At 40.0% G+C, this 9,383-nt stretch overlaps 1 long non-coding RNA gene across 1 annotated transcript; it reads left to right on the top strand.

Moving 5' to 3' along the window:
• The first annotated feature begins 1,658 nt into the window (after positions 1 to 1,658).
• LOC105377416 (uncharacterized) lies at positions 1,659 to 3,985 on the top strand. Its single transcript, XR_939190.2, has 3 exons — positions 1,659 to 1,802; positions 2,227 to 2,362; positions 3,912 to 3,985. It is a non-coding gene; the product is annotated as an uncharacterized LOC105377416 (long non-coding RNA).
• Positions 3,986 to 9,383: the final 5,398 nt, after the last annotated feature.

Raw genomic sequence — 9,383 nt, 5'->3', positions numbered from 1 at the left:
TAAGTGAAAGGGACCAGACAAATTTGTACATACTATATGATTCATTATTTATATGAAATTTCTTAAATGTCAAAAGTCATGACAGAAAGCAGATTGCTGATTTCCTGGGGACAGTTGAGTACCTAAGGAGCATAAGGGAACATTTGGGGATGATACAGTCAGTCTTAAACTGAATTGTAGTAACGCCTCGATGGCTGCATACATTTACCAAAACCCAACAATATATACATTTAAAATAGGTGAATTTGCTTTATGAGGCTGTTAAAAATTTAAAAAGCAAAAACAAAAAGGAGAGAGTAACTATACCAATAATTGCTACAAGGCTTAAAACAAAGAGGACAAATAATTTTCCATTGGAAATAATGTTACGAACATCACTTGTGACCTTAATGAGAATAGTGTTAGTGGTTTTATTGGAAGTAGATGCTGCAATGGAGTCAGTTAAAGAGTTTATGAAAAATGAGGAAATGGAGACATCCCACTATATATGCTAGATCCATCCTTATTAGCTGAAGAGATGAGAAGAATGGCAGTAGCTATACCCAGGTCCTATGCTAGCAGACTGTTCATGAGTAGGCATTTTGATCCAAATGACCTCACCTATCTTCCATCTTAGTAGGAGTGATGCCAAGTCCATCCCACTTGCCTTCACATCATCTCCTAAGGCCTCCTCCCCACAAATATTTACCCCCATGTGGAGAGGACAGCACCAGAGAGGGGTCCCAGAATACATATTTAGTGTTGGATAAAAGCATGTACACTTAAATGTTACATTAAGAACAATAGAATAGCTGAACTGGGTCACTGAGAAGTGATACTTCTATTGAAATGAATCTTAATAAATCCATCCTTTTCAATGATGACTTCTTGGCCACCGGATCTGACAGTGAAATTGGTATTCATATAACCCTCATTGTTCCTAACACCAATCCTCCAATTAAGCCTTGTGACGCCCCTTAGAATTCTAGAATGAAGAAGGGTAGAGAAGGGAAAAATGAAGCAAAGAACAGGACTCAGGGACACAGTCAACATGATGGCCTGCAGAAAAATTTAGCAACTGGAAAATCCCTTTTGGCAAGAAAATGAACTCTTTTAGAAAGGAACAGGAAGTCTAACATCTTTTAACTTAATTCCATGTAATTCTTTTTACCAATTCAAATTCATAAAATTTCTACACACACACATAGACACACGCAATGCATTCCAAGAAAAGTATTTCGGGAAATCAAGGAAAAGGGACTAGGTTCCATGGATGGATTAGCTTAGGGCCAATAGAACCACTGCAGAAGATGGCACAAATGAATTTGAGAGTCCTCAGGAACATATGACCATAAGAACATAAGCCTCATTTAATTCACAGATATATTGGTAGAGGCTTCAGTTGACCTTTCCACATTATAAGAGTTACAGTGTTTACGCTAATTTTATTTAAATCCCAAAGGATGAAGTGATCTTACCAAGGACCTGAGTTATACCTAAACAAAGAAGAAGCAAAAACATCTAAGAGAGAGAAGCCCAATTAGGAGGGCTGATGAAGAACAGGATTCTGGGCAGGAAGAGGGTACTATCATGGAAGTCAGCAAATAGGCACGTGGAATAAGCCAGGCCAATATCAAAGCCAAGAAGTCCACAGATAAGAAGCAAATTCAAGTTCCAAGTACAGAGACAGTTGTAGTACAGTAATTCAAAATATAGCATCTGGACCAGGCAAGATGGCTCATGCCTGTAATCCCAGCATCTTGGGAGGCCAAGGTGGGAAGATCACTTGAAACCAGAAGCTCAAGACCAGCCTGGGTAAAATGGTGAGACTCTTTCTACAAAAAAAATTTATTAAAAAATTAGCCAGGTATGGTGGTGCACACCTAAAATCCCAGCTACTCAGGAGGCTGAGGTAGGAGGATCACTTGAGCCCAGGAGGTCAAGGATACAGTGAACTGTAATGGTGCCAATGCACCCCAGCCTGGGGCACGAAGAAAGACCCTATCTCCAAAAAAAAAAAAAGCATCTGACATTAAACCAGAAACTGAATCCCAGTTTTTATACTTACTGGTAGTATTGCTGCAGTTTACTAATCTGAAAAAATGGTAATCAGCATACATACTTACCTCATACATTTGTTTTAAGAATGAAATAATAAATGTAAAGGCATTTAGAGTAGTTCTTGGCATATAGTGAGCCATTGATGTGTGTTGTTAATGATTGTTATCATTGCTGTTACTGTTACAGAGGGCAAGCACTGAGGATCTGGATAAGAGAAGAATTGGTAGGAAAACTCTTCGGTGTGCCCAAGCATCTCCAAAATGTTTTTTCAAAAGACAGGTGGACTTTAGCCCCTAAGAAGAATCTGATGCAGTCAATCTGGGTAGGACACAGAGGTCTGCACTTTTGTTAGTCCCCAGGTGATTCTGGTACAGGTGGTCCGTTTAAGAAATACAGTTCTAGAGGGAAGCCCTTGGAGAGAGTGATTTTTCTCAGTAGGCTAACAAAGAAGTTAACATCATTAAAAGGCACCCAAAAATTATCGCCTAGGAGACAGGACCTAGGATCCAGTTGGGAGGATATTACAACAGCTGGGGCCTGAAAAAAAAAAAAAGTAACAAACTTTGGCAAGGCCAGAGATAAATAAGGGCATAAAAAGACTTATATGAATTGTCGAATGACCTTTGCAGAGTAAGAAACTACAGGCCAGCCAGTAAGCATGGGGTCAGAGGAGAATCAGTCAGATCAAAGAGAACAACTAGGGCCTGGGATGCAGCAGAGAGGCAGGTCTATGGCAGCAGGGCCAAATGAAGGGAAAAATGGCATCGGGGTGGACAGGAAAGTAGATTAATTAGACAGAGATAAAATAGTAACAGTATTTTTAAATTAGAGATGGAGTCTCACTATGTTCCCCAGGCTGGCTTCAAACTCCTGGGCACAAGTGATCCTTCCACCTCAGCCTCCTGAGTAGCTGGGACTATGGGTTCACACCACCTTCCCTGGTATTTTAAAATATTATGTGTACAGGACATTATATATTCATTATTTTATACTGTCCTCAAATTAGTCCCAATTATCTCTTTGTTTTTTTTTTTTTTTTCATAATCCTAGTAATTCCCTTTTTCACAAAAGGAAGCAAGGCACATCACTTAGCTTGTCAGGAAAGGAGCCCAGAAGCAAAGCCAGGCCATCGGAGTAGAAATCCAGGCACTGTCGACTCCACCACTTGTTTGCAGAGGAATGGAACTTGTAGGCAGAGAAGTGGAGAGAGGACTAGAGAACTCCCACCCTCAAGATCAGGGAACACACCTCTCTGGCCAGGAATTTTTTTTTTTTTTTTTGAGACGGAGTTTTGCTCTTTCGCCTAGGCTGAAATGAAGTGGCACAATCTCGGCTCACTGCAACCTCCGTGCCCCCACCACCACCCAGGTTCAAGTGACTCTCCTGCCTCGGCATCCTGGGTAGCTGGGCCTCTGCCTCCTGGGTAGCTGGGACTACAGGCACGTGCCCGCACACCCGGCTGATTTTTGTATTTTTAGCAGAGGTGGGGTTTCGCCATGTTGGCCAGGCTGGTCTCGAACTCCTGACCTCAGGTGATCTGCCCCCGCCCTTGGCCTCCCAAAGTGCTGGGATTACAGGCGTGAGCCACCAGACCCAGCCCAGGATCTCTTTTATCACCGAAAGAAACCATAAGGGCTAGTATGTGAAAACGTCAAAGATCCACTAGATATTTGGGGTGAAAATGGAAGCTCTTGGTGCTTTTTAGGACTTGGCTTAAAGAGACCGCTCATTCACAGCATTGTTTCTCCTCCCATTAATGCAACATTCTGTACTCACTAAAGTGCTTGATCTGACTATCTTTTAAGATTATAAAAGCTAAGACTATACAGTCTTTCTACAGGCCAGCAGTATGTTTTCCCTTAACCCTACAGTAACAACCCTACAGTGTCAGCTGCTAAATTTAAGCCACTTGAGATGTCTCACTTAGCAGGCAAGAACGAATTGAGTAAGTATGATTTAGAGCTAGAGTCTTAATTATAGTATTGTGTACCTGAGGTAATTATTCACATGATGTAGTGATGCTTGAGACTATTACCTGTGATCAACTCAATTAATGCAATTTGCCCTAGCCCACAAGTGAAGTAAATTACCTGGCAATCACAAAAGTCTCCTGATAGCTTCATGCTGATTATTCCAAGAACAGCTTCATAAGATTGTATATTAAGATACACACACTACACACACACACACACACACACACACACACACACACACACATACATATTGCATTTACCCACCCTTTTTAGAAGCAACCTCTCTGTCCAAGTTCCAGAGATATCAAAACACTGTTCTATCCCTTTTCCTGTCAGAACATTTTTCTTAAATGTTTCTTTCAAACTTTACAAAGTCTGAGATGAACACAAATGCCTCAGCTAAACCTGTTACTTTATGCCAGCCACTGAGTGGTACTGGAAAATGAAGAGGCCACATTCACATTGCACTGGTAATAGGACTTCAACATATCCGCACAGTATAATGAGATGTATGGTAATTTTTCACTTAAATAACAAGATGAGGAACATGATTAAAATGGAGTTGGTTTCTCAGTTGTTTAAAACCAGCATTTGCCTATATACATATAAGGAAACAATGCTAACCAAATGTTTACATTTTCCTTCTGAATTATGATAACTTGATTAGCTAAAGTGTAATGGTGAAAAATGTCCACTAGAATTAACCTACGGAAATTACCTCTCAATAGGGTGGTTGCAATATGACATCAGTAATGAAATATTCACATTTCAGCTATTCCTGAAAAACTTATGAAGTATCGGCCGGGCACGGTGGCTCACGCCTGTAATCCTAGCACTTTGGGAGGCCAAGACAGGCGGATCATGAGGTCAAGAGATCGAGACCATCCTGGCTAACATGGTGAAACCCTGTCTCTACTAAAAAAAAAAAAAAATACAAAAAATTAGCCGGGTGTGGTGGCAGGCGCCTGTAGTCCCAGCTACTCAGGAGGCTGAGGCAGGAGAATGGCATGAACCCGGGAGGCGGAGCTTGCAGTGAGCTGAGATTATGCCACTGCACTCCAGCCTGGGCAACACAGTGAGACTCAGTCTCAAAAAAAAAAAAAAAAAGAAAACTTATGAAGTATCTTTTCTCATTCAGTTTTAAGGTCAATAACACTACATCAAAAGGGATAAAGATCCATGCATATAACTTGCTTGGCATAAATTCCCTCAACCAGGTGAAGAACAACAAAAATATTAACTATATTTATTCAGCATCTGCTATGTATCAACCACTCTGTTAGCACTTTTCATGCAATATTTCCCTCCAGTGCTTAAACAACCTAATAAAGTATGTACAGTTATTATCTCAATTTTCTTATGTCAAAGCTAAGGCTAGCTATGCTAAGTAATCCAAGTTCACTTAATTAGTAGCGGCAGAACTTTTATTCCAGCCCAGGCCTGTCTCTGGCTATGAACACTGCTTCATGACATCTGTGAAACAGGAGGCACATAGCCTCCCCAGCTGGTGGTCCAATGCCTCTTTATACAGGAAAGAACAATGTGGTCAAGAAGCCTATGTTGTTATTAGATGGAACTAAAACTCAGGCCAATTGATTCTGCTTTTGGCCTTTAAATGATAAAAGACCATTTTAATTTTCTTCTTCCTGTTATTCTCTAACAAAGTTTATATATTTCAACAAAAAGGCTTCAGTTTTTTAATTAAATCAACTGTTTCTCATTCCTATTATCACTGAAGTAGAACATTTAATAATGAGAGTATTTGTTCACCATAGGTTTAGTGTGAAATTGTAATTCTGTTCCAACTTGCAAAGCTTCACATTTCATTTTTCTTGGCTTCAGAGCATATACCACATGCAGAAGGCTTTCTTGTAAGCAGAGTCCTTTAAGAAAGCAAATCAGCATTCTGTGAGCATGGTCAGCTCACCTGCTTAGCAGGGGCTTAATCACAATCGTGGAAGAAAATCACCAAGCACTTGGCAGTACTATTTTGATCAGAACCAATGAAGGAGTCTAAATAAAATTTTTTCTACTATTTAAGGTCAAACCAATCATCTTGGCAATTACTTATTACTAAGCCTATTGTCTACATTTTTCATCTACTAATCATCCTGAAACAAAAATTCTGCTTTAAAGATTGTAAGCTATATTTTTCTAGTCAAATGCAACATGAAAATAAATGTCATTAAAGAAATTAAGTATCACTCTTCCAAATATACCATAGGCTACATATTTTGGAAGCTTCTCCTACTATAGTAAAATTAAATCCTGGATAAATAACATATCTTTATGGCATTGATGGTTTATGATAAAACAAGGAGAATCTAAAACAAAGAACAAAAAGCTGAATAAGAATGATGATGAGATATTAAAATCTGAAAACCAAGTTGCCCAAGAATGTAGATTCCTACTGACATCAGAAAACAGCTTTGGGGTCCTTGCATGTGAGGAGAACTGAACTTGATACTCCTACATTAAGCCAGGAAACCTAGAAGGGGATTAAAGAAGTCCCAGGAGACTGAGCCTCAGGACCATTGGCATTACAGGCAAGATGAACCTGAACCCCATAGTAAATTAAGAACTTCAAAATGAATTAAAGTAGTCTCTGATGGGGCCAGAACTAGGGTGAGGCAAGAGAGGTAGTAAAGTGCAAATTTAAGAAGGCATACTTGCATGACCTTGGGAGTGAGTGCCTCCTTAAATTCTGCACCTAGACAACCTCTCCTGCTTAACTCTTGTCCCAGCCCTGGTCTCAGGTTGATTTGACAGCCTGGTTCTGCTAAAAGCAAATACAAATCTTCTAAGGTAAAAGAATTCCCAAATAGACCTTCAGGATTCCCACAGATGAATTTCAACCAAATATGAGCTCAAAAATATCACTAAAGAGACAAGCAAACAAGCACCAAGATTGAGAATCAGCAGAAACAACAAACGTTTTTCTTGGACACATAAGGACTTCAGATATTGTAATAGCAGATAACTAATATAAACTGTTTAAAGATATAAAAGGTATAATATTTAAATATATAAGACAGAATAAAAAATAAGTTATCAAAACAGTGTAGTATTGGCATCGGTATAAACACACAGATCAGCAGAACAGAAGAGAGAGTCCAGAAAAAAGTCTCATATGTATGCTGAATTAATTTTCAACAAGGATGTCAAGTGGTTAAAAGGATAATCTCTTCAATAAATGGCACTGGAACAGTTTGATATTTATATGCAAAAAATAAATAAATAAGTTTAGACTCTAACCTCACACACACAAATTAACTCAAAATGGATTACATATCTACATGTAAGAGCTAAAATATGAAACTTCTAGAAGTTTCTAGAAGAATTTTTTCCCTTGTAAGGCAAAGATTTCCCAGATATGATACCAAAAGCATATGTAGACAAGAAAAAAATGATAAATTGAGCTTCATCAGACCTAAAAGTTTTAGTGATCAAAAGAAACTATTAAGAAAAAGAAAAAACTTGCCACAGACTGTGAGAAAATATGTGCAAAGAATATATATAATAAAAACACATCTATAATATAAAAAGAACACTTATTACTCAATAATAAAAAGCAAAGAACTCAACTTTTAAGGTGAAAAAGATTTAAACAGACACTTCATAAAAGAAGATATAGGAATGATGAATAAAAATGTGAAAATATGTTTATAATTATTTATTAGGGAAATTCTAATTTAAACCACAATAGGATATCACTGCACAATCACTAGAATAGCTAAAATTAAAAGACTGACAATGCCAAGTGTTGACAAAAATGTAAAAGAATGAAACCCTTACATACTACTATTATATATTGCCAATAGGAAGTTAAAATAATACCACTTTGGAAAATTGTTTGGCAGTTTCCTTAAAAAGTTCAACATAAACTCACCATATAATCCAGCAATATCACACCTAGCTGTGATATTGCCAAAGAGAAATAAAAACATATACCCACACAAAGGCTTGTACGTGAATGTTCATAGGAACATTATTAATAATAATCAAAAACTAGGAACCGAAATGTCCATCAACTGGTGAATGGATAAGCGAAGTGTAGTGTATCCAAACAATGGACTATTATTCAGCTATGAAAGGTAACAGAATGTAGAGCAAGATGGTAGAATAAAAGCCTACACCCTTCATCCCCCCACAACAGGAACACTGTCTACACACCGAAAAGCACTGTCAAAAGAATAAAAACTCAGATGACCAATCACAATACCTTGTTTTAACTTTGTGTTACCTCCAAAAGAGGCATTGAGGAGGGCAAGAGAAAAAGTCCTGAATCACTGACACCACCCCTCTCCTATACCCCCCGCAGTGGCCTTGTGGTGCGAAGAGAGAATCTGTGCACTTTGGGGAGGGAGAGCACAGTGACTGGGGACTTTACATTGAACTCAGCACTGCGCTGTCTCCACAGAGAATAAAGCCGTGGTGGGCTCAGCCAGTGCCCCTGCATGGTGGGAGCATTTGGATCAGCTAGAGGGGTATCACCCATCTCAGGGATCAGAACTTGAGTTTCTCCACAAGCCTTGCCACCACACGCTAAAGTGCTCTGGAGTCCTAGGTAAGCCTTGCCACCACAGGCTAAAGTGCTCTGGAGTCCTAGGTAAGCCTTGCCACCACAGGCTAAAGTGCTCTGGAGTCCTAGGGAAGAGAGTCTAGGACACAAGGACTGTAATTCCTAGGCAATGCCTAGTGCTAGGCTGGGCTTAGAGCCAGTGAACTCGGGTGGCACATGACCTAGGGAAATGCCAGCCTGGTGCATCTAAGGGAGTGCTTGCACCACCCCTCCCCTAACCCCAGGCAGTACAGCTTAACAGTGAAAGTGACTCCTTCCTTATGCTTAAGGAGAAAAAAGTGAAGAGTAAAGATTTTGTCTTGCATCTTGAATAACAGAGCAGCCACAACAGAATAGGGCACCAGGCAGAGTCACGAGGCCCCCCATTCCAGGTCTTAATTCCTGGATGACATTTCTAGACACACTCTGGGCCACAGTGGAACCTGCTGCCTTAAAGGGAAGGACCCAGTCCTGGGAGTATTCATCTCCTGCTGAGTAAAGAGATCTTGGTGCCTTGAATAATCAGCAGTGATACCCTGACAGCATGCTGTAGGCTTTGGGTTCTGAGATGTGCTGGCTTCACAGGTGACCCAGCACATTTCCAGCTGTGGTGGCTACAGTGAAAGACTCCTGTTTGAGAAAAGCAGAGGGAAAGGTAAAAGGGACTTTGTCTTGTACCCTAGGTACCAGCTTGGCCACAGTGGGGTAGAGCAACAAGCAGGCTCGTGAGGTCCCTGAGTCCAGACCTGGGCTTTTGGGCAGCATTTCTGGACCTGCCCTGGGCCAGAGGGACACCCACTGCCTTGAAA

The sequence above is a fragment of the Homo sapiens genome, chromosome 4 (genome assembly GCF_000001405.40).
Source record: "Homo sapiens chromosome 4, GRCh38.p14 Primary Assembly".
Lineage (NCBI taxonomy): Eukaryota > Metazoa > Chordata > Mammalia > Primates > Hominidae > Homo > Homo sapiens.
Note: the sequence above shows the minus strand (reverse complement) of the source record. Positions and strands in the feature narration are given on the sequence as shown.